This window comes from Homo sapiens, chromosome 2 (genome assembly GCF_000001405.40).
Source record: "Homo sapiens chromosome 2, GRCh38.p14 Primary Assembly".
In the NCBI taxonomy this organism is placed as follows: domain Eukaryota; kingdom Metazoa; phylum Chordata; class Mammalia; order Primates; family Hominidae; genus Homo; species Homo sapiens.
This window is the reverse complement of record NC_000002.12, coordinates 21,924,532-21,951,521: the sequence shown is the minus strand read 5'-3', so window position 1 is coordinate 21,951,521 and position 26,990 is coordinate 21,924,532. Positions and strand designations below refer to the sequence as shown.

The 26,990-nt window shown below is 38.4% G+C and overlaps 1 long non-coding RNA gene across 2 annotated transcripts in view; it reads left to right on the top strand.

Moving 5' to 3' along the window:
* LOC124908056 (uncharacterized) overlaps positions 1–18,304 on the top strand; it is a 32,435-nt gene extending 14,131 nt beyond the window's left edge. Inside the window, exons 1-2 of one of the 2 annotated variants that reach the window (XR_007088664.1) lie at positions 14,801–16,555; positions 17,975–18,304. This is a non-coding gene — a long non-coding RNA (uncharacterized LOC124908056). Of the gene's footprint in view, positions 1–14,800; positions 16,556–17,974 lie in introns of those variants that run through there. The other variant, XR_007088663.1, reaches the window with a different exon arrangement.
* Positions 18,305–26,990: the final 8,686 nt, after the last annotated feature.

Genomic DNA, 26,990 nt, shown 5'->3' with positions numbered 1-26,990 from the left:
ACCAGGTGAGTGGCTATGGGCAAGTCACACAGCCCCTCTTCGTGTTACATGAGGATGAAAATAATACTATGATCACATTAGGAGCATTAAGGAGCTGTTGTACAAATGAAGCGAGCTTACATAATAAGGGCTTAATACAGCACCTGGAATAGAATAAGCACTATACAAATGTTATCACCCTATTATAATTACCTTTATTATTACTAGTCACCTATTATATATTTCCTAATGTCGTAGTGATTTGTCAAGGTTTGATTACCTTAAACTTCTTGAAGGAAAACATCATGTCTCACATTTGAATAATTACAACAATCCATTTATGCAATAAATGTTTATTTGGGAGTGTATTAGGCTCTGCAGAAGCAATGATGAGCAAGATAGACTTTATCTCTACTTCATGGAGCATACAGTCCCTGAGAAGGATGTTTAAATAAGTAATTATAACGAGTACTGAGAAATCTAATGGGAAACACAGCACACTATAAAGGCACATAGCAATGGTCATCCAGAGGAAGGGGAGGGGGGGTGGTAATTCAAGAATGCTTCTCATGGAAAGTAATATTTAAACTTAAATAAGTAAGAATGTGGAAGTTCTTTACAAGGCACTCATTTTTCTTCAGTTAATAATGTAAAAAAGACTGCAATTACAGGGTTAAATTGCCAGGACCCTCAGTTCCTTATTGATGGGCCAAATGGCTGGTATCATTGCTTCCAAAAGTGAATTGAACTTGATGGAGCTCATGATGAGAAATAAAGTTTGTGTTTTTATTTTTATCTTTTAATTCCCTTTATTCAGGAACGTTTTGAAGTCCTCTCATATGTAGGATGGATAAATCCAGAGATCTAATTAATACACAGTGTGAGGACTATAGTTAACAATATTGTACTGTGTGCTGGAAATTTGTTGAGAGAGTAGGTTTCAAGGGTTTTTACCACACAAAAAAGAAAGAAAAGAGAAAAAAGCAATTACATGAATAAATGGATTGTTAATTTTCTTGAATGTTGTAATCATTTCAATTTCACTATGCATATGTATACCGAAACATCATGTTGCATAACTCAAATATATACAATAAAAATAAATAAATAACACTGGTTTCTACGAAAGTACAAAGAGAGGAAACAAAGAGTTATACAGAAAGAGATAAAGAAAGGGAGGAGGCTGGGCACGGTGGCTCACACCTGTAATCCCAGCACTTTGGGAGGCTGAGGTGGGCGGATCACGAGGTCAAGAGATCGAGACCATCCTGGCCAACATGGTGATACCCCATCTCTATGAAAAATACAAAAATTTAGCTGGGCATGGTGGTGCGCGCCTGTAGTCCCAGCTACTCAGGAGACTGAGGCAGGAGAATCACTCGAATCCAGGAGGCAGAGGTTGCAGTGAGCCGAGATCACACCTCTGCACTCCAGCCTGGAGACAGAGCAAGACTACATCTCAAAAAAATAAAAAAGGAAGGGAAAAGAAAGAGAAGGAGACAGGAAAGACCCTTAATCCCTTATTTCTTGTCCAGGACTCTTGATCCTGCAACTCTTAATCTTTCAGTCCGTGCTACATAAGAGCTTGAAGAATGGATAAGTTTTAATTATTTGTATAGAATTCAATGGACTAGTTTACCATATATATTGCACAAGGTTATTTGGAGCTATTGAAGGATGAAGTGAGCAGACCATAAAAAAAAATTATAGAGGACCTGAAAATAAAACTTCTACATCATTGAAAAGGCACCTCCATCATTTAGTTTTAAGTACATTTTATTCTTTGAGAATGGGTGTCAGTGCAATAAGATCTAAAATTGCATTTTTATGCTGTAGATGGAATGCTGCTTTAAAAAGTGCTGATTGCAAATTAATCAACATTATTTACAAGCAGTTCCTGGGGGTAGGCAAAGAGGTGCAGAAATAATATTTTCTGAATTATTGGCCTACTATCATCACAGAAATGACATCCCATATAAAGTTATCACAAAGAGCACATTTCCAAAATAAATTATAAAGAAGATTAAATGAAATGGCAGAAAGGAAAATAGGGGTGGGGTGTCTATGGCATAAGAGACAGAAAAATGAAAAATTATAAATGATTGCACATAACAATTGTAGGTTTGAACTGAGAAACTATTTGAATTTAGAGAAACAAGATTGGAAAATGGATGAGAAATAAATCCCAGGCAGAGACAGAAGAAAGCTGTAGTATTAAATGTGCAGTCTGACTTCCTTCTGAAAAAAGTTGGGTCCTCCATGACCCAACAGACACATTTCACTGCAGAGGATATTTACAGTCCTTAGCCTACAATCTGGATTAATCCAAGACCCAATGACTAGAATATAAATGTGTGACTTAGATGGAGAAGTAGCAACCATTGGCTGAATTTTTATGATGAGCTTTGAAAATAGCTCCTTGATAATTTCTCCTACTTTTCAGAGAGCTAAGAAAGCCGCTCAGTCTTATAACTGGCAGCCGCTGCCTCTAGCTAATCACAGCAACCCCCAAAATTGGCATCATTGTTCTCTCTAAGGAAAGGCACAAGGTGCTCTACAAAACCTGAGAATGTTTCCCACAGAACCCATTCAGAGCCCTGGTAACAAGTCACTTTTTTTTTTTTTTTTTAAGCTCTAGCTATAGTGGAGGGACATCAAAAGCCAGGGAATAGATAACAAAAGATGTGTCTATTTGTGGCTGCAAAATTCTGACTCTAAGGAGCTCTTTGATTTCACATTGATAGAACACGCAATGACCTGTATATGCAGTGCAAATACAAAGAACATGAGTGCAGACTCCTCAATTCTCAACACTTTAGTGTGGTTCTCAAACTTCAGTGAGCATCAGAATCACATGGAGAATTTATTTGTTCAAACATTTTTCCGGGCCCCACCCCAGCATGCTTAATTGGGAGGTTTAGGGTTTTTTGTTTTGTTTTTTTTTTTTTAATTAGTATTTCTAACACAATTTCCAGTGATGCTAATGCTGCTGGTTCAGAACCACCCTTTGAGAGCCACTGCTCTGTACTGCACAGTGATGAATGACAGTGCCAGAACTAAAGCTGGGACAACCTCTCAGACAGCACGGAGGTCTCTCCGCCACAGTGTTCCCCTTCCTCTGCATGCTACATTGCCCAGTGAATGCCCAGTGAAATATCTACGTGTTTATTTGTTCCAGCATATCCTACTTTGGCTTAATTAAGCAATTATTCAACAAGACAGAGGAGGCCCTGTGACCTCTTGCCAATTCTATTTGTCTGATATTCAGCATCACAATGTTCAAATAAACCACACACACACACCATTTAAGCTGATTAAAGTTTCACAAGCAGATTACTCTTAAATTGCCTGACCTGTGAGGTCAGAGAGGTTCAAAGGTGCAGACTAAGGTCTACCCTTTTACATACTCTTGATCTATCCCCCACCACCCATACCTAGGAACAAGGCAGCATCAAACTGTCATTGCATGCCGTCATTTCCACAATGCATCCAGGAAGTTTTCACTCCATCTGCCTTGTTACTCCTGGATCTCATCTTTTTATATTTTAGTTGCCTTTACTCTGCATTTTGACCTCATGTATGCTCATGTTTCTTGTACTTGCCCAGTTCAGAAAGTTTTTGAGTTGACTTCCTCTTCCAACAGGGTTTTAGGATTCTTGAGCCACCCACTGACACAGGGGTAACAAAAGTAACAACAGGCAGGGTGCAGTGCTGGTCATCCACTGCTGCACCTGTCCTCCAAGAGATGGGTGCAGGTTATGGGGAGGGGCAGAGAGAAACAGCAGTTCATTACCCCCAGAGCTAAAGACAAGATTCCCTTGAGAATCCAGCTCCAGCCACATCACTTTTACTGCTGTTACCATTTTTAAAACGTCAAAATATGCAGGTACATCTTGGTTCCTGACGCTGCTCCCTATTTGCCATTTGCAGGAATCTTCCCCAAAGCACCATAACTCAGAGATGTTTCATCTGAACTCCTAATAAAATTTGTAATAGCTGCCAATGGTTGACCACTTGCTAAGCCCTAGGTGAAGCACTTTACTTGTGTTATGCCATTTAATAATTGCAATGTCTCTGTCACAAAAGTGCTGTGTGCTCCACATGTCACATGTGAGGAAATTAAGGCTTAGGGATTTTAAGTAACCTGTCCAAAGTTACTTCTAATCTGTGTCGGAGCTAGTATTTCAACCCTGTCGTCAGTCGGTTGCCAGACTTGGCACTTGTGCTGGTGTGATTTCTGCTTTCCTATGGCACAGACAGCCTCAGCCAATCACACGGCACTTTCACAGTTTTTGTTTGACAGATTTGAGATGAATATCTTGTGAGCAAATGAACCTCAATTCAACACAGACATGTGGAGCACCAATTGGATTTTCAGCCGGCTGTGTGCAAGGATCCACCACGATGGGGTGGGAGGTGGGAAAAGGAAAGCATTCAATTTAGTCCCTACCTAGGGAGAATTTAGATATGCATGTAAGCTGTGGAGAATTGGACAGGAGAGCATATGGGGAAGTGGCCAAATGTGTGAGAGGCAAGCTATAAAATATGTGTTTTAGCTAAAACCGAGAACTAAAAGAAGAGGCTAAATAGGCTAAATAGTATAAAGGAACATCTTCCAAAATCAGTGGCAGAGCTACCCTCAGCTCAGATGGTGACAGACTGGCTGCCTAACGTCCTAAAAACTCAGTCATGTAACCGTTGCACTGGGGGTATTTACAATGCCCTCTCATTTTAATATTTATTTAGAAGTTAATTACCGTCACGGTCAACTCTTTTATCTCAACAACATTTCAGAGAAATGTGTTCAGGCATTATGTGACTTGTAAGTAAGATTATCAAGGAAGTTCACAGAAGTGCCATAATCAAGGGATTTGGCTGTTAATAAAGAACTTACTGAAAAACAAATGAGTTAACACTACACAGAATTTGAATTTGGCTAAAGCAAATTCTAGAATTGCATATAGTATAACACTTTTCTTTCTTTCGAGATGGAGTTTCACTCTTGTTGCCTGGACTGGAGTGCAATGGCGTGATCTCAGCTCACGGCCCACGGAATTACTGGGTTCAAGTGATTCTCCTGCCTCAGCCTCCCGAGTAACTGGGATTACAGGAATGCACCACCACCCCCAGCTAATTTTGTATTTTTAGTAGAGATGGGATTTCTCCATTTTGGTCAGGCTGGTCTCAAACTCCTGACCTCAGGTGATCCACCTGCTTCGGCCTCCCAAAGTGCTGGGATTAAGCATATGTCATCATAAAGCTAGAATAAAAATTAAAGACCAATGACCACAGTTATGTGCAAAACGGGCAATGAGACTATCTAGCTTTGAGAGTTAGACTAGACTCAAAAGCCACACTTTTGCCCTGTATTATTTAAATCTTTAAGTAAACACAAATATGCTTTCGGGTGGGCTTCATTGGATGTAATATCTGCATTATGCTGGTGCACTCACACAAAGACACACATAACTGATGAGCTGATTGATAGAGTGTATTACCCCTGCTTTACAGATGGCTAAATGGATTAAGCAAATATCATTGCTGCAGCATGAAGCTGAGCCTTTGTATTCACTTATAAAGTTAGGAAAATCACTGAAGAGAAAGAGAAATCGTGCAACTGGAATGGAGAAAAATAGCTCCAATTATAGTTCCAGAATTGGCTGCCACCTTTAGTGTTAACAGAGTGTGCACGTTTCTCAGAAGTGACACCTGCATTGTCTATTGGGAAACATTTAATCCCTGGCGCTGCATTAAGGAGGCTGGTGAACATACAACTGAATAGAAATGATGTCAGTTCCTTCTGAGATAGAAGAAGTTTCACTAATTGAAGTAGGAGCATATCAGAGGGTTCTGTGGACCTCTCTTAATTTGATTCCACTTGCAGTGTACCATTCTGCCCCTGCAGAATACCTGGAAATTGAATAAACATATGACTATTTGAATGTAGATGTAGTTCTGATGTTCCCACTGCCCTCTGCATAAGCTTTATCTAGGATTTGATTAGCTGTGTCTCTCCTGCTAAAAGGAAAGGCATTTTGTTTCATTTAATGTAGGATTACCAGTGACTAAAGTGTGCTATGCATATGGTTGGCTCCTAAGGAATGATCATGGCAGTGTATTTACAAAAACAACTCTTCTATCTTGGGGTCACTTCTCCAACAGCCTAACCTATCAGCACCAGAGCCAAGAATCAGAGAGAAAAGACAAAGCTCTTTGGAACAGTCGGAATGGTTGTAACACTGACGTCTGTGAATTAACATCTGTGCTTTATCCAAAGGAAATACTCTTGAGTGTTCACGTAACATCTATTTTTTTAATCTTTATTTTTGTCTTCGGTAGTTGTCATTGGAACACAGTTAGTTAGTGCTCAGTAAACAAGTGCTGCATCAGGAAAGCATTTTGTGCATATTGAGGTTTTTGATCTGAAAAATATGAATGTGCTTAATGCTCGGGTACTTAAAAGCATAAGTTATCTGACAAAGATGCTCATGGTGGGAATTGATTCTCTTGTGATTCCAGAATAATGAAGTGTTGTATTGACTATTTCCAGGTGACACCACTGACTTGTCCTGATCTGGAGAGGCTCTGGCTTGCTCAGCCTGCTGTTGAGTTTGCAATGAGAGTGTAAAGTCAAGACAGCTACAGATGCTAACAGGACATGGACACCTTTTCAGATAACTGACTTCATCTGTCTGCCTGTTTATGTGGAGAGCTGATTATCAGCCATGTGCAAATACTGGGGAACCGATCTGATCTCTGTGATGTTTTACACTACAGGCGGAGCAGAGCCATCTTTCTATCCAACATTCACTCAGCGAGGCAGGAAATATAATTAAGCTTTCATGCATATTCCCATGGTACCCTGCACAGTCAATCATTGAAAAAAAGTCAGTGCCACAAGAGCTTGTTTGTTTGAAGACATCACCTAAGAACTTAAGAGCTCTGAGAGGCAGGAGAAGGGATGTAAGCCATGTGAGGCATGGGTAGGAGTGGTGGGTTCCTTAGGGGCGTGAAAACTGGGCTCAAGGTGATTGTGGGCAATTATTCTGCAATGCACATAAAGTATATTTAGTCCAATAAGCACAATCCAGAGAGTTTTTCATGGGAAAATTTCACTCCAACATTGCAGTGCCTAAAAGAATGGAAATTACTTGAAAATGGTCAGTATTGCTAGAGTATAATAATTGCTTGTTAGGCCAAATCTATTGTGCGGAGGACTTTACAGAAAATATTTATAGACACTTTTAATACAAAGAAATGTTATAGGACCAAGAATTATAATATCTAATTTGAATTCCAGCTTTGTCAATTATTGTGTAAACTTGAGCAAATTACTGAACCACTAAAACATCAATTTCTTCATCCATAAAATAGGTATGGTAAGATATAATCATACTATTGTTCTGTGGCTCAAACTAAACAATGTAATATATTTAAAGTAACTCATAGACTACCTAGACCTCAATAAGCTGTGATTGGTTTTATTAATCTTTTTGTTGTTATTCACGAAACACTAGTTCAAATACATATAGTGAATGCATTTAGAAAGCTATACATACTAGACTCTCTTTTTGATAGTTACAGTGCATGTACGAATTTTAAAGGCTCTGAAATGGTCTAAGTTAAAAACAATAACAAAATAGCAATAGGAAAAAAAAAAAAAGGACACCTGTGTGGTTAACCCAGTATTTTCCAAATGTATTTGAAAATAAGCCCTGTTTTTTTTCTTTTCTTTTTTTTTGCAGAGTCTCACTCTGTTGCTCAGGCTGGAGTGCAGTGTCATGATCTTGGCTCGCTGCAACCTCCACCTTCCAGGATCAAGTGATTCTCATGCCTCAGCCTCCCAAGTAACTGGGATTACAGGTGTGTGCCACCACGCCCAGCTAATTTTTGTATTTTTAGTAGGGACAGCATTCAACAATGTTGGCCAGGCTGGTCTCAAACTCCTGACCTCAAATGATTCTCCCAACTTGGCCTTCCAAAGTGCTGGGATTATAGGCATGAGCCATTGTGCCCGGCTGGGCCCTATTTTTTTCTATATTTAATTCTTACTACTATGTCATAGAACTAGGATTTCACATACTTTGGTAAAAGTCAACTTTGTCCAAATTCTTTAGTTTTCAGATCCCCAAACAAGTCTCTATCCAATATGAGGTTATAGCCCTTACCACAGGACACTCCATACCATGCGCTATGGTGAAAGACAGACATCTATTACAATCTCAAAGTTGGTTCCATATTGGAATCACCTAGATTACTTTAAAAATTACTGGTGTTTGGGTCCCACCAGAGATTTCTATATAATTGGAATAGATTAAGGCCTGGTCTGAAAATCTGTTTGAAACAGCCTAGATAATTCCAAAAGGCAGCCAAGTTTAAGAACTAGTGCAAATGATAATCCTAGGGCTACTTTTTTTTAACACCATTGTCATATTTTTCATTCAGATTTGAGGGTAAGCCTGCAATGTTTTTTACAAAGCTCAAGAATTTGGTAAATACCCAATGATCATGATCAGGTATCTCTCTGTAATCATTCTTTTATTAACTCATTTAATAATCATATACTGATCACAAAGGAAACAGCTAGGTTCAATAGGTTCTGTTCAACCCTCCTAACTAACTCCTTGCCCACCCACTTCCCAAAGCCCTCCCGTGTTTCTCAGTACTACTACTCACTTGGATTATTTTACCATGCAGAATACCACATGGGGTGTTCTGCCCAGCTAATAATTATCTTTTTGTTTGTGCCTAATTCACGAAGCATCCATCCCCCTGCCCTCCAGCTGAACCATGAGGTCCTAAACTCATATATCAGCAATGGAGATAGATAGGAAGGCAGAGACAGCCTCATACAGAATAAAGGACAAAAGCTTCAGAGTAAAATATACATGAGTGTAAACCCTGATTCTACCTCTTATAATCTGCATGGTCTTAGAAATTTTAATTTCTCTGAGCTCAGTTTTCTTATTTATAAAATAGGCGTGATAATATTAACCTCACATAGTGTGAAGATTCAATGAGATAAACCACGTGAAATTTATAGATCCAGGCATAACACACTAGAGATGATCAAACAAGAAAGTGCTTATTTATCCATGTTGACCATTTTGAGACCTTAGCTTATTGCACCACACTTGTACTGAGCAGGATGTAGACTCCTCAAAGGGTAATCTTGGAAAATAGACATTTCAAGAGCCAGGAGAAAGAAAGACTTATGGTACTTTCAGCAAAGTTAGTTTTCTTGAACTCATTGTTTTTCTGCTATAAATAAAAAATTGAAGAAAAAATAATATGGTCATATTGATACATGAATGTAGAGAGGGAATATATTACTATTCTGGATAACTAATATCCTTAAATAAATAGAAATAAATCTGATGAAATTCTATTTCGGTTGGACTTGAAGATATTTTCACTAAATACCTTTAGAGACCAAGTCAGAGAAAACATGAAACAGATTGCATAAAGGATATAAGAAACACATGAGTGAGTTATTATCCATGCTAATAAAAACTACAAAGAAACCACCTTAATGACACAGGGATGCCCCAGAGCATGTGGGGAACTGTATGTGGTTTCACGATGGTCTCCTAGGTTTGGGGCTCTGGCTGTGTGTCTGTACCAGACCAAAGAACATAGTCATTTGTTATGCTGTATCAATTAATACATTCTTTTCTGTTGGTGGCCACTCAACATCAACAAACATGATCCATTTCTGTTTTCTTTATGCCCTGTCGATTCACCCTGGGACTATCTGTATGGCACTCGCTCCCTGGAATGCAAGTGAAGTTTCATGGAAACTGTTGCCATTATGGTCTTAGCTTCCCCTGTTCTTTGTGTAGTCACAGGAACTCAGAGCAAAGATCATCAAACAGAGAAGCAGAATGGGGGAGGAAGACAGGCAGATACCACATAAGTCTGAGGCCATGGGTGTTTCACAGCATTCCTGTGTCCTTTATTGCCTGATAAGTTAGTCCCTATTTCTCCAAGGACTTTACTGGGGGTCTCTTCCATCTACCCAATGCCATCCTGCAAGGAGTAAGATCAGAGCCTCAGTATCAGCAGGCAGGGTGTGGGATCAGTGGTACCTGTGTTAGTCTAACTTGAAATCCGTTCGCTATGAAGAAATACCTGAGACTGAGTAATTTATAAAGAAAAGGAGGTTTCATAGACTCACAGTTCCACATGGCTGGCAAGGCCTCACAATCATGGCAGAAGGTGAAGGAGTCAAGGCGTGTCTTACATGGCAACAGGCAAGAGAATGTGTGCAGGGGAACAACTGCCCTTTATAAAACCATCAGATCTCATGAGACTTTTATTCACTGTCATGAGAACAGCACGGGAAAGACCTGCCCCCATGATTCAATTACCTCTCACTGGTTTCCTCCCACCACACACTGGGGTTATGGGAGCTACAGTTCAAGATGACATCTGGGTGGGGACACAGACAAACCATCTCAGTACTCTTTAACAGGATCTCTGGGAAACTGAGGGGGTCCCCAGGTATACAAAGCCCCATATGGACTCTTCACTGAACTCCCACCATAGAATATACGTGCCCTAGCCTGTTGACCAAGAAATTTGACAAATTTGCATTTCTGAACAAAAAGAGGAGTGTTAATGCATATTTAGTAGCATACTTCCTGGTAAATATTTAATTATAATATTAGCTATAATTCTATTATTATGATTATCATAAATCAAAAAGAGGAAGGCATAATATCAAGTGGTACAAGAAGGTCCAGTAAGATAAGGAATGTTAAAAGTTTATTGGCTTTAGCAATATGAAGATCATCTGTAACCTTGCAAGGTACACTGAGCAGTGAGTGGAAGGAGGGGAAACTGGAAAGAGGGTAGAAGACCTTTCAAGAAATTAGCATGGGAAGAATTGGCAAGAGACTAGCTGCAGTTAGAGAGAGAACCTGGGTCAGTCACACTGTTTTTTATGATTCATTCTTCATCTAGAAAGGGGAGCATATGGTAGTGCTGAAGTGTGAGTGATTCCCAACCCTCCTGCATCTTCCCACCTTCATGGTCCTTGCCTGCTCTAGATCCTTGCACCATTCATGGATTCCCTGGTGTCTTTTGCACCCTCCAGGAGTATGACCTTACAAGACAATTGAAAATTCTTAAATTGCTAAGCCTCAGGAAGGATGTAAGAAATCAATAGAATAATAGAATTCTGCCCCCCCATACTTTACACATGGTTATGACTTCAAGCTGAAATATTGGCACTCATTTTAAAATTAAAATGACTCATTTAGTCATTCCTCTATGGATCCAGAGGGAGTGGAGGACTCTTTTAGCAGGAGCCAATGGCCACTGCATGAAGAAAGTTCCAGAGCTGTTTATAGAGCCTCTGATGCAAGGGGTGACTCAATAGAGAATTGCCTGACTCTAGAGAGATCAAATTCTTTTTCCTGGAGAATGATTCAATTCTACACTCTTCCATTTATAATTGGCCATTTCTGAGGCTGCCTGGTCTTCAGTCTTCTAAAAATAAAATTCCAAGGACTTTAAATCTCTGATACCGAAGGCACTGAGTCACCAAACGATTTCTACTCTGTGTTGTAGATTTGATTTTGTCTATTATTTAGAGTATTACAAATTGACAATAAGTCAGTAAAACCAATCCTTGAGAATCCCTAATTCCTAAAATTTTTTCAACACTTTCATGTTTGGCATTTCCTTCATTTCCTAAAAATTATCTCCTTAATTGTGTTACTGATTATTTTCCCTCTCATTGGTCATATTTGCACTATTTTCTTATTGACAAAATAACTGTCGAGGGAAATTCAGCAGTTGGGCTCAAAGTCATATATGTGAATCCTTGCATTCTTCGATTATTCAGGCCCGGATGGTTGAGACGACTGACAGTGTTCATTGTGTTAAATTATCTGTCTCTGTTTCCAGAAGATGACATGACCTAGACTTGAGAAACTGCAGACATGTTGACAAAAGAATGAACTCTATGGAAAGCTTATTTGCTTTTAAGTAAAATGCGTGTTATTTTAAGCCCTACTAGCTCCCTGTTGCCTATAGGATAACTACAAAACTCTCTTGCATAGCAAGAAAATATCTTACAACCAAATCCTAACACGCTTTTCTAGAATCACCTTTTGAGGTTTTTAAGTCTTTGCTCTAAGCTATGGCTATACGTATTTTCCATGCATTGGTATATGCTATTTCTTCTACCTAGAGGTTCCCAGTTCCACATCTACATCTAATTTGAAAATACTTCTGATAATTTTATATCTAATTCAAGCATTAGCTCTTTTTCTAAAATTTCTGGCAAGTCCTTACAGAGAAATCTCAAAGCACTTTATGCATACCTGTACCACGGATCTTATTCATTACTTTCATTGTTGAATCTCACTCACTGTGCGTCTCTTACAGTAATATATGATTTTAAATGTCTTGCTCAAATTCTTATAATTAGTAACTCAGTATATAAATAAAATGTTTACATTGTGTATTGCCTCCCCAAAATAAATTGCTCATATGATTTCCAAATTTCCAGGGTAATTTAAAATGTAATATTCACTAATTATTAATCCCTGATGAGCTGCAAGTACCTGACATCCTCCCCTAGAAATTGCATCTCCTGAATTTTAGTCTTTGATTCCTGTTACAACATACCCACTGCCTTCAGATAAATCAGAGTGTGAAAGGATTGATTTCAGTTTCTGGGTATGATATATGTTCCTAAATGCAAATTTGAAAGAAAAATCAAATGAGGTAATCGTCTACTTCAGACTATTCTTGTTCAAGATGGAAAGAATCATAGACTGGGTAAGTGATTAGTCCAAAGCCAGGGAGTGATCTAGAATCAGATCCAGAACTAGAATGTAAGTCTCCTAATCATCATTTCTGGGATTACTGAGAATAACATTAGATTAAGAATCAAAATATCTGAGTCTCATTTTTGGCTTTGTCATCAATAAGCTGAGTTATTTAAAGCAAATCCCCTACACTTTGAGTTTTACTTGCTTTACCTGCAAAATAAGTAAAACCATACCTATAAGGTGCTGTGAGGATTAAGTATGATAAGAAAAGCAAGGAACACTTTGAAAATTACTACACAATGTGTTCATAATAATTTTTATTACAAAATTAATTCTAGTTTGTGGCAGATAAGGAACCCTTCAGGTCACAGCTCTGACTGAACTCATCCTGGTCTTTGTTGCCTCTGTAAACAGAAATTTTTTTCATAGAGTAACTTGGTAGCTTGTTAAGAATATGCCTTATTGTTCCTCTTGTTGCACAATGTACCACTCAAAGAAAGCTATTTTAATGATCGAATTTCAGGCATTTGGGGGAAACAGAAGGAAAGAACCTGGGTGCAAGGGCGAAGGTCTTCTCAGGGACTTTATCATTCACTAGGATCTCACTTCATCTCAGAAAGCCGTCATCCTTTCTAACGTGTGTGTAGTCTAGGCTATGCCCCACATACCCAATTAAGCCTCCATTCTAACTACAAGGAAGGTTAAACTTTACCTTCAGCTAATCTGTGGCTGATAGATACTTGTGCAAAGATAGCACCAAGGGTAGGCCGCAGATGGCTTTACAACTTCCTGTGTTCTACAGGAATGGTGGCGGTGGGATGCTTGATAGGGGAGGACTAAAAAATATGTCCATCAGGGAGGGGAACATCACACACTGGGGACTGTCGGGGGTGAGGGGCTAGGGGACGGATAGCATTAAGAGAAATACCTAATGTAGATGACGGGTTGATGGGTGCAGCCAATAACCATGGCACGTGTATACCTATGTAACAAACCTGCATGTTCTACACATGTATCCCAGAACTTAAAGTATAATAATAATAATAATAATGTGTCCATGCACAAAACCTAGCATTTGAACCTACCTGCAAAACCCATGCCTCTTCTTCCTCTTCACAGTAAGTATCGCGTGTACTGTATATAGAGTGTGTCTGTGTGTATGGGGCATGTGTGTGTATTTGTGTATATGTGTATCAGGGTAGGGGAAAGATGGTCTCCTACAAGGGCAATGTTGTATTTGCCTTAGCACTCTCTAGGCCAAGTTGGACAACACCTGTATACTCTGGAGACTGCAGCCTTTAATCACTCCTTCACCAGATTGCTAATATTCCAAATTATATGTTCTATGGGAGTGTGCATGTATTAGTAAAGCCTCCAGAGACATTGCCTTGCCTGATAAATAGATAAAGCTGCTTGGTGGATACCTTCTTATCTTCTTATTAATGATATGCCCAAAGCTCAGATTAACTCCCTACGACTTTGAAGATTGCCTCAATAGGCTTTTCTGAAAAATCAGAGCATTATAATCACTGCTTACCCTTTAGCCACCCATTTTGAAATTTGGATAGAAAAATGATCCCATTTTCTTGCCCTGTTTTTTTTCCCCCCTGTGGCTCTATTATCACCAAGGGACACCCAGATTTATCTGCCTTAATAGTATATTTCATTGTTTTCCATAGGACTAAAAATAATAGACTTTTAAAGAGAAATAGAATTGAATTTTTCTCCTTCTTTAGATAACTTAGTAGGAATTCCAAAATTATTACTTGGGAGATTTTCCTCACTGCAAATAGATTATTGTCTGTGCTACGTTTTAATTTCTCTTGCCTATATCTTTTTTTTTAAAAAAAAAAAACAATATATTACTATTTAAGGGTACATTGTTCACTCTCTTTAAATCTGAAGAAAAAAAGGCGGACTAGCTTCTGGTAATTAAAAGTGTTTGCTGGAGGGCGTGAGATACCTGTGGGTCACTCTTTTGGTTGTTAATTTTGTGGTTAAGCAAGCTGTGCCCTGTAGCACTTTGTGTCTGATTCACTATCACTTTGGACATTTAAATGTTAATTATCTTGGTTTTCTAAATTATTGTATCTGACTTTTCCATGCCCAGTGCCCTGGATATTACAAGCCATCACTAAGCTGGTGTTTGTGAAGATATCACAGCTTCTATCTCTTGCCTGATGGTAGAATGCATACTTCATGCTGAATTATGAAGACCCAATTAAGAGTGTATTTCAATCTGCTGGCTTATTATAAAAAGAGGATATAGAACAAAGAGATTGGGGGATTTGGAGCCTTTATGTGACCAGGCAGGGGAATTGTGGTCAGAAATGGGCATGGAGAGGCCGTAATGGAGTCCAATAAAGGTTGGCATGTTAGATTCCATCTAAGATGGCTGGGCACACAAGGGCAAGAAATTAGCTGGAAAGCTAGCTGGCAAAGCAAATTGTTCACACAAAATTACCTTCTTAATAATGAATCTTAGCAGACTTTCCCTGTGTGGGGGTATGTGTGTGTCTGCACGTGCGCATGTGCGTATGTGTTTCATGATTTATTAAATAGATTAACTACATTGATTTTTACTTTGAGATTTCCAGGCAATCACACAATACTTGAATTTTTCAATCTTGTTGCTACATTATATGTTAATAAAAGCCAATAGCAAACATTTAAAAAGTTTTCCTAGATTAGGGCCCTTTCAGGAATCGATAATCTCATTGTCACGGTTCAAAAAGCTATCAATTCTATGAGGACCACTAATGGCTGCAGAAAGAATGCATGTAAACACCACCAGAAAAAAATCAATGTTCTCTCTAAGTCATCGATAATTCTTGATGGCAATTGGAATTATGAAAAACATTACATGTACCTCGTGTCTTAAGCATTTGGAAGGGATCCACATCAGGTAGCTGGAATCCTGGTGTCCAGGACAACGCAGCTATCATTTAGGCTTTGTTGATCTGTTAACTGGTGCTTGGATAATACCTTATGGTTCCTAAGATAGAGTGTCATACACGTGACTCATTTGGCAGCCACAGCAACCCTGTGAAATGAACACTGAAGTAAAACTAGCCTCCTTGTTGTAGACGAAGTGCCAGTGAAGAGGTGGCACATTGGCCAAGCCAATCACAGGAGAGTTGGGAATGACGTGTAGCTCTTTTGACTCCTGTTCTTCCCCCTTGGTGGTGATGGGTGCCTCCACCAATATAACTGTGGATGCAATGTTTACTTATTCACCAATTCTCAATAGGCTATAATGAAGCAGTTTAGTGAGAAATCTGGATATTAGTAAATAATCCAGAGGTTCAACTGCATAGTACATCTCATCTAGGTTTACAGAGTTACTACAAATGAGTATTCACTCAAGGATAAGGGCTATCCTTTTTTCATGCTCTTCAATTTTCTCAGGGGTTGCTGGAGTATCTCTACTCTCTCAAGTATGGTATTTGGCATTTATTCCCATACTTCCCCATTTTAAAGGGAGATGATAACAAATAGAGCTGTGCCTACTGAGGTCACTCAGCTCTTAGCCTTAGCACTGCATAGCAATGAACACATTTTTTATCCTCTAACATCGTAATTTTTTTAGGTAGCTGTCTCTGCCTTTGGTTAAGGCTTATTTTAAAATACAAATTTATGTTAAAATTTAAAAAATGTTTACAGATTTTGTTTTTAGTTTGAGGCTTAACCTCAAAGAAACAGAATTAATAGAAGAAGGAAATGATCCTGGGAGATCCTCAATGCAGTAATGAATTCAACATTCTTCAATCAAATTTAAAATTTAATTATAGGTAATTTTTCCTTTTTTAATGAAGTACTTTTAACATAATGCTCCATTATTATATAATTAGATAGTTAACTCTATTAATCACATTCCAACTTATTTTTCTCCATGTTTTCTCTAAATATTTATATACTGTGACCACTTTTACAGCCACTATGCTCACTGTAATCAGAAGTGTAAGTCAGGGTAGACAGAAGATCTTGGTGAAGAAAATTCAGTGTTGTTTCTCCACGTGTGCCTCCCATGCTCCTTGATTTAGCAGAAAATTGTTTTCAATGTATCTTTCACATTTTCAAATCTATAAAAGGCATTCAACATTTTATCTGCCATTTTCTGACGGCTTCATATGCCCCACTCAGACACTTTGCTAGGCCTGGATTCGGTGGAAAGGGAAGGCGAAAGATGACTAGGCATATTCTTTGATCTAAAGGAGCTCATAATTTAATGATGAAAAATGTATGAAAGATGCTCATGGCTCCTTCTCTTAAAGAGCTCATAGTGCAAAATAAGAAGTCAAGTGCAAGACCTGTCACAGATATGAGACACTACTAGATTTAGTGCACCAGTGATGGTGGAGGGGCGTGGGGTAGGTGAGCCTGGCTGCATTCAGTCTTTTTCTGGTGACCTTGACTTGGTCATATTTTACATGTTGAATTAAATTTGCACCACACATGAGTCCTTGCAAGTCTGTATTAAATAGCTCATGTCCTAGCTCATATTCTTAATTCTCATTTGATATAGCAGGAAATGATATTCTTTTCCATGTTTGCACATAACCAAATAATTATTTTCAAACTGTATTTATTTAGCCCAGGGACAGATATCTAACCTAGCTCTGTAGTCTTACATATATTCCACTGTGTATTCTTGGGCAAGTACTCAACCTTGCCATGTCTGTTTCCTTACTTATAAAATGGAATATATATTACATACAAAATTTTTAAAGTTAGTAAATATAAATCACTCAGAATCATTCTTAGCACCCAGTAAAAATACAAAGTGATAGATATTACTTCTATAATTCTATTTTACTTTGATTTTTCTGTTTTTATTAGCTAGAGATGCAGTGAAAACTGACTCTACCAATGCCCTCTTTCTTGTCCAAAACTTCTATGTGAATATCCATGAATGATTTCCATGAGAGTGGTTGAAGTTTGTGTATATTATAAACTTTTTTATTTTTAGAAAGAAAAGGAAACCAATTTTCAATGACTGTTGTCTTACAGTACCTTCTCTATTATTTTGATGTTCTAATGGTTACTTTCAATGGGTATTGCACTAATGGACATTATCAAGGCTAAAGCAGCAGTCTTAAAAGACTTTAATAAGCAGAAAAGAAAAACGAAAAGGAAGAGCTAGAAAACAGGAAAGTAATCTTCCTTTATCACTGATTTTACTGATTCCTTCACATTATTATCTGTTTCAGCCTACTTACCTGTGGTGACCCTGGATTCTGTACAACTGATTTGTTGATACAGAAGAGAGTCATGCAAACTACAGAAATCCACCCAAAACCGAGAGAAGGAGAGTATCTGTTTTCAGAGGAGCTGTCTGCTTTGGGAGGAAGTTCCAGAAGTGAGCCTCAGGAATTACAACATTAATTGAGAAACTGAATGATTAAAATTGTAGTAACAAATAGCTTTCCTTGGAACTGTCCCAGAATCTATTATTTTTTTTTCCTTTTCTGTCATTAACAAAAACACCAACAAAAATCATCATGTGTGAAAGAGGTACTATAATAAAAACCCTAGCAGTGTCTACTGCGTGCTTCGTGCAAGGTATCCATGATGGTCTTAACTCACCACAGAAGAACTTGGGGGAGTGTGGTCAATGCCAGGGGTTCACGGGGAAAAATGAAGTTGTCCACAGGTTGACCTCCTTTTTGCACCACTGGGAATTACTCTTTGCATAAGAAAATACTGCCTATTGGAAATGGGAGGTGAAATTACACATTGGACAAATGGGGCAGAAATTGACCCAGAGGTTTTTATTTTTCTGTGTTGCTCCTTGTCCCTAAATACACTGAAAATTCTTGACATTCATACAGTATTTTCTCTTTCATCCAAGCACCCAGTTCACTGGTGATGCACAGGAAAGAATTGTTGATGTTCTTTGGGCTTGTGTGGGAACTAAGGTGATAGATACTTGTATTTAATGAATGATGAGTCTGTGGCAAATGCCTTGGAAAGTGCTACATATACATCACCTATTTAATCCTCAGAACCATTCTCTGGGGTCAAAATTATTGGTCCCAATTTACAGCTGGGAATGTCGAGGCTCTGGTGTGCTAAATAAATTTGCCATAATCAAAATTATGTAAGCCAGTTTGTTACTTCTTCCCTAGTTAATCACTACTATTAGAACATGAACCCTTGGTTAAATTATCTATCTGAAAATTAACTTCAGGAATATAGGTTATTTTCAATATCTTTCCTTTGTGTTTGTCACCTGTTAGTAGGAATTCTCTTTACTTGATTTTGGAACTGATGGGTCTTAAGCAAAATATCTTTTGCATACAATTATTCACGAAGGTAGCAGGATCTTTTGAGAGGTTTTAATAAAAGATGAAGGGCTAAAATTTGACTTGAGAGTCAAAAGCCTAAGAAAATATCCAGAGACAAAAACATACACACAGTAATCTGGATATAGTCTTCCAGCAGATAGCGTAACCAAAAATGAATTCACCATGAAGTCTAGGTGTGGGAAATGCTCAATGATGTTAAATTAACTCCACTGGTAACAACAGGTATTCAAGTACATCCACTGATGCTTTTTTCTTTTTTTTTTTTTGTTATAGTTTAAGTTATAGGGTACATGTGCACAACTTGCAGGCTTGTTACATAGGTATACATGTGCCATGTTGGTTTGCTGCACCCATCAACTCATCATTCACATTAGGTATTTCTCCTAATGCTATCCTAGCCCCCCACCCCTCGACAGGCCCTGGTGTGTGATGTTCCCTGCCCTATGTCCAAGTGTTCTAATTGTTCAATTCCCAACTATGAGTGAGAACATGCAGTGTTTGGTTTTCTGGGGCCAATATTCAACATTCTTAAAGAAAAGAATTTTCAACCCAGAATTTCATATCCAGCCAAACTAAGCTTCATAAGTGAAGAAGAAATAACATCCTTTACAGACAAGCAAATTCTGAGAGATTTTTGTCACCACCAGGCCTGCCTTACAAGAGCTCATGAAGGAAGCACTAAACATGGAAAGGAACAACTGGTAACAGACACTGCAAAAACATGCCAAATGGTAAAGACCATCGACGCTATGAAGAAATTGCATCAACTAACACATAAAACAACCAGCTAGCATCATAATGACAGGATCAAATTCACACATAACAATATTAGCCTTAAATGTAAATGGGCTAAATGCTCCAATTAAAAGAGACACATACACTGATGCTCTTCAAATGGCATGATGACCCAAGGGACTTCTTGGTAGATGGGGAAAAATGTGAGTGGTCATTAAAAATATTTATAACTCAGGCAGGTGATTGAATGCAGACCTTGAATTGACTGAATAAGATAAATAGAAGCTACAGAAAATAGATACCTCCGCTTTATAGGCAATTATAATCTAACCAAACACGCCTAAGACTCAACTCCTAAGACTCAGAAGCAAAACTAATCTCTCTGAACCTCAGTTTCAAAACCTGTAAATTAGGAAAGCAAACTCTCCTCTCCCTCTTATCAAAAGAAGAAAGTGTGTGTGGCAGTCCCAGGTTCTAGCTTGTCTAGCTTTCATCTTCACTTTTGCAGCCTCAGAGCATCCAGTCCTCTTCTTTCCCCCTCTGGATTTCATTCCCTGTCCCCTGGTTGAGTTGCTATATGCAAGGCAATGCTGATTGTTTAAGATGTTCGCTCTGTCAAACAACCTATTTCCTCTTTGTACTCTATGAAAGAGCAAAGCAAGGCTTTTTAAATCCAAAGCACCGATGATGTTTAAAAAGCAGAATTCACAAATGGCCCACCCAGGGAGTCTCTTAGCAAGGTGCTTGAGCCTCAGATGCAGGGGAGGCTCAGTGGACCAGGACTGTTTAGGCAAACCCTTCAGGAGTCTGGGGATTTGTGAAGCTCTACCTGGTATCTAATAAGGAAGTCTAAATGTCTGTCGGGTAGTCCTGTCCTGGCTGTGTTGGTGCATACCAGGGGGGACAGTTCTATCATACCAGTCAGTTGATGAGAAGGAGAAAGTTAGTGATGGCAAAGGCCATTCTCCCTGCATGAGATGGATTCAAGTGCACAGAAAATGCCAGGTCAAAAGTTCAAAGTGGTGCTTGTTCATTCTTGTGGCAGAAGTAGGATCACAAGGGAGAAGTTATACTTTGCAAGAACTGAAGAGAGGGAGGATTTTGAAGACATATGAACCAGCTTCAGTCAAAAGGCAGCTGCACTACACTAGACTCCTAAGACTACAAAAAGTTTCAGGCTGACAGTGTGTCTTCATTCTGATGGGGAAAAATAAAAGTGTTTCCTCTAGTTCTGGCAGCTCTGCAAGGAAAAAGAGGTATTAGCAGAAGTCTGAGCCTTCAGGGGTCTGGCCCACATCCCAGCCATATCCTGAGATAATGGCAGGACTTCCAAAAATTCTTGTGGCAGGGATCCGCATTTCCTGTCCTAAATGGTTAGGCCATCTGGAATGTCTATTATGGAAGCATTAAACTTATGGAACTGTCCTCGCAGGCTCTCAAAACTACTTCAAGTATTCTACAGAATAAAAATAAGTTGAATAGAAACAAACTGTGCAGATTACCAACTCTTCTAGTGGAAGAGGCACAAATGTACCAGAGTCATATGGAAAATACCAAAATATAAAAACTAAGAATTTAAAAAGTACATTTCACAGACTGATTTCAAAGAAGAAATTTAGGATATAAATTTGAATCTAAAGTCAGGGCATTTTGGCCATGGACTTCTGGAATTTTTATAGCTACCTCCATTATGTACGTTAATTACAGTTTCCATAGAAGCAAGACAAAGAGAGGCAGGTGGATTGTGCAGTAACTCCCACCTCCCAAAATGCAGTCAATGTGCTTTGATGGGGAGGCAGGAGTATCATCTATCCATACACAAGACAGAACTGCTCTTCTTTAGACATAGTTGTAATTTTGGAATACACATGTAAAGAAACTGACAAGCAAAAATATATAATAAAAAAGCTAGTCATAGTGAAAACATGCTCACGCCTAAAATATTAGTTTTCTATTGCTGCATAATGTGTTACCACAAACTCAGTAACCTTAAACAATAACCATTTATTATCTCCCAGTTATGTAAGTATGTATTGGGTTTTCTACTTTGGCTATCACATGGCCAAAAACAAGGTGTCTGCCAGGCTGTGCTCTAACCTAAGACTCTGGTGAAGAATCCACTTCCAAGCTTGCTCTGGTTGTAATCCTTTATAATTAACGAGTAAGTGTAAGTAAGTGTTTCCCTGAGTTTTGTGAGCCATTCTTGCAAATGATCAAACCCAAAGAGGAGGTAATGAAAACTCCTGATTTATAGCTGGTAGATCAAAAGCACAGGTGACAATTTGAGACTTGCAATTGGCATCTGAGGTGAGGGGGGTCATGTGGGACTGAGTCCGTAACATGTGGGGTCTGCACTAACTACAGCTTGTGTCAAAATTTAACTGAAGGTTAGAACACCCAGTTGCTGTCTGCTGGAGAATTGATGTGTGGGAAACAAAACAAAGCAAAATGCACATCTGGTGTCAGAAGTGCTCTGGGTTGTGTTGAGTGAGAGAATATTAGGAAAAGAAACAGTTTGTTTTTACTACTGTATACACTGGAGCAGCCAACTGAGAGAGGGAGTGGGGTAAAACTGTTAGGACATTGAATCCTAAATGATCTGTCAATGAAAGATCTCTGTGGTAGGCTACCTAGCCCCTAAGTAGACTGCACCTTTGCACTTCCAATAGATTAAGTATTGGACAGATGTTCCAAGGAATCAAAGACAAGGACCAGATCTGGATTCTCAGAAAATATTATCCCCCCTCTCAATGGCCTTACCGACACCTCAGGTAGGTCATTGATGGCAATGTTAGTATTTTAACACTCTCATGGAATATACCCTGTCTATACACTGGTTAAGCACCTGAGTACACTAGGATAGAATGTAAAGAAAATAAATGAGCTATATATAAACTGGGGCTCTAAGGAAAAATTAGAATATGTACATGACTATAAAGGTGATGTCTTTGTTTACCATATATTGTAAGTTACATTATATTATAAGATAATTTTTAAACAATAATCTCCCCTGTCCTTATGCTTAAAAGTTACAAACTAAATCACTGGTCTTCTTGATACTTCAGCATAAGGCCCTCTACATACGGTTAAAAAACTGTTCAGAATATATTGCAAATATGCTTTTCAATGAATAAATAGATCAGTGAAGTTGTTCTAAACATACTAAGATTTATTTAACAGACTAAGATATTTTGGTTGAGATTTTTTTTTTCAGGGGAGCCCTCTTGTGGGTGATAGGCATATTACCAAAACATAGATTTTCATCGACTTGGTTGGGGATAGGCTGAGAAGAAGACTTCATATTTTAATAATAATAAAGTTGAATATGTATGCACTTTGTGCCTCCACATAGTTTCTTCCTTTTTAACTTCTCTAATTCAAGTATAGAACTCTAGACTCCAAAGCTTTCAGAGGACATAAAAGGTCATCTGCTGGCAGTTCCCAAACTGGCTAGTCACCAACGTCATCCAGGGAGCATTTTAAAAGTGCATATTCTTGGGCAATACTCTGAGATATCTGGGGTTGGTAAGTGTATTAGTCATATGGCTATAAAGATACTACCTGAGACTGGGTAATTTATAAAGGAAGGAGGTTTAATTGACTCACAGTTCTGCATGGCTGGGAAGGCCTCAGGAAACTTACAATCATGGTGGAAAGGGAAGTAGGCACATCTTACATGGTGGCAGGAGAGAGAAGAGAAAGCAAAGGGGAAAGCATCCCTTATAAAACCAACAGATCTTGTGATAACTCCCTCACAGTAATGAGAACAGTATGGGGGAACCACTCCCATGATCCAATCACCTCCCTCCCTTGACAGGTGGTGATTACAATTCGTGATGAGATTTGGGTGGCGACACAAAGCCAAACCATATCAGTAAGTCTAAAGCAGAGTCAGCAATCTCTATTGTGTTAAACCTCCCCAAGTGATTCTGAATATGAGTTGGACTCACCACTGTGGTTTTCTGAATTCCCTTTAGGTTATATTTGCTGCAACCCAAGGGATATTAATATTTTAAGGTTATTCATTCAATCTCTAACTCAACTGTGAACTTGACAGGGACAGGGCCCTGTTGCCTTTCTATTCCTCTAGCACCTACTGCAGTGACGAGTAAAGAGTGGGTACTCAATAAATGCATATCAGATTGATTTAGGTAATTCTAATATACTAATCTATATTGTTAATAATATGCAAATTATAGGCTCAATGGATTTACATTCTGGAAAACTTTAAACAAGGAGATTACAGTGTAAAACTTCACAATAGTCAATCAATACAAATGACCTTAAACAATCCAGGAGCATTCAAACAAGTACCGTATATATCTGTAAGGCTTACATTGAATAGTGGAATAAAGTTGATATTTATCTTCCCCCACTTGCATTTAGAAAGAATGTGCTGTTATATTTAAGTTACAGTTAATAAAGTTTTTCAGCCTTTCTCACCATTCAATGTAATGTACTTGGTATGAGAGCAGTAATGGAAAAAAACAATCTGCAAGAAATTGTGTAAGAGGGATACTCTCATTTATATGCACAATTTTAAATTCCAAGAAAATAAGAAGCACGTTACCATGCATTTACCTTTACAAATGCTGGGCCAAGGCAAGATTGGATGGATATAAGCAATCGGATCTGACGATAATATATTCCATTTGCAATTGTTAGAGATTTATGCAAGATAGCAGGTAACACCTTTCTTTTGAATTTCAAATGCTGTGTAACCTTTTGAAGATAACAAGGGATATTCATCTGAAATAATGGTGGGAAATTTATAACGGAGACCACATAATTAGTTGTTATATTTTGCAAGTACCACACACTCTCATAGGAACATGGCTAGAAAAAAAAAATTCCTCAGTAAGAAGTCAGTTTCTTTTTTTTTTCCTTTTCTTTCTTGCAGTTGAACAGCTTTGTACATACGATACTTAGAAGAATATAAATAAAATGTAAGACAGCATCCTGAAAGGCTTATGTGCTCTATTGGATTTTCAAGTTTATTTCTAATGTGTATCCTTATCAAAACAGCAAATTATGTGAGTCTGGGTTAAATTATTTACCACAACAGGGATCCTTCAGTCCAGAACCTAGCAATTCAATGTAGGAAGGAAAAAAAAAACAACATAGATTAAATGTTCTTAGGGTGGTCCTTTTTACACGTTATTTTCCAGCAGAATTCAATACTCCAACTTCAGTTCTGAGTAAAAATACATCTAAATTTCCTGGCATGATGCCTTACAGCATATTTGGATGTACATTAACAATAGTCATAAGAAGCTCAACATAACTGAGCATCAAATTTAGTACTACCTATTTGCTTTCTCCTAAGGGGTTGGGGGAACACATGTAGATATTATTCACATTTGTTTTCAAACCCTTTCAATTGTGGGGATGATGGCCAGATTCCTGGTTTGACTTGCCGAAGTCAGCGTCTATTGAAGCCCTTATTCTTAAAATACTGTGGTTGTGCATTTTGACCTGTCTGGTCATTCCCTGAGGGACTGACACAGAGGCTGACTTTTGTTTTGCACTCCCCTACATCAACTTGCACCCTGGGCTAAAGCGGCATTCTGGGTGGCAAAAAGACTTAAAGACATACATACTTTGTGCTCAGCTGGGGCAAGAGATATGAATGGGATGAGAGGCAGACAGAACCCAGGATCCCAGGAAGAAATAATTCAAGGAAGAAGATTACTGGGGGGAAATAATGACTTAGAAGGGCCATGCCATATACTGGAAAGGCAAAGTGCAATGTGTACAACTAAGACCAGATTCATGCCCAGAAAAACACTTGAAAGTACTAGAGGCTTCTACCTTTGATAGGTCTAAGGGCTTCACATATTAGGGCAAGGTCACACATGGTCTGGATTAGCAATGGAGTCCATAGCCCAGAGCCAAGTCCCTAGCTCAGAGCAAAGAGGCAAAAACTAGCCTATTTTTATTTTTTACTTGACTCCACACATTTAAGGAAATCTCTGTCAGGTCACTGACTGACCACTGAAATAACAGAACAGAGACATTACTGACCACACACAACAAGGAATATAGTCCTTGATAAAATAGCTTGAACACGTCACTAAACAAATGGACCATTGCATCCATCAAACATCAAAAACAAACCCTGGAGAAAAGAGAACCTGATTTCTAAAGTTACAATGCTAAAATATTCAAAATGCTCAGTTTTCAACAAACTACAAAGCACATGTTTACCTCTGTAACAAACCTGCACATCCTGTACATGTACTCCAGAACTAAAAAATAAAAAAAGTACAGGGCAGACAAAGAATCAGAAAAGTGTGGCCTATTTATGGGGTGGGGGATGGGGGTGGGGAATCAATAGAACCTATCCTTGAGAAAGCCCAGACATTGGTCTTACTAGACCAACACTTTAAATTAGCTGTCTTCAGTAAATCAAAAGAGCTAAGAGAAGCCATGGACAAAGTATTTAAAGAAAACCAGGAAAATGGTGAAGGAGCAAAATGAGGTATCAATAAATAGAAATTATGAAAACTAAAAATAAAACAATTAAAATTCTGGAGCTGAAAAGCACAACTGAAGAGAAAAATATCCAGTCTCAGGATCAAAAAGTTTTATCTCTTTTCTTTTGTATAAAGAAAAGGGAAGTGAGCCTAAGAGACCTGTGGGACAGCATCAAGTACATAAACATATGCATTATGGGAGTCCCAGAGAAGACGGGAAAGAGAGTAAGGGACAGAAACAATATTTAAAGAAATAATGGTCCCAAATCTGACATACTTGAGGAAATACATGAATCTACACATACAAGAAGCTTCACAAACTTCAGAAAAGATAACTTTAAGAGAACTACACTGAGACACACTATAATCAAACTGAAACTACAAAGAGAGGATCTTGAAAACAGCAAGAAAGAAATGACTCATCATGCACAAACGATTCTCAAGATTAGCAGCTGGTTTCTCTTTGGGAACCAACTACTGTAGGAAAAAGTGAATGGAATGATATAAAGTTCTGAAAGAAAATTTTTAAAAGGATGTCAACCAAGAATTCTATATTCAGTAGTATTATTTTTCAGTGTGTATCTGATAAGAAACTTGCATCTGGAATATGTAAAGAACACTTACAACCCAACGACAAAAAGCAACCAAACTGATTAAAAATCAGAAAAGGACTTGAATAGACATTTCTCCAGAAAAGTTATGCAAAT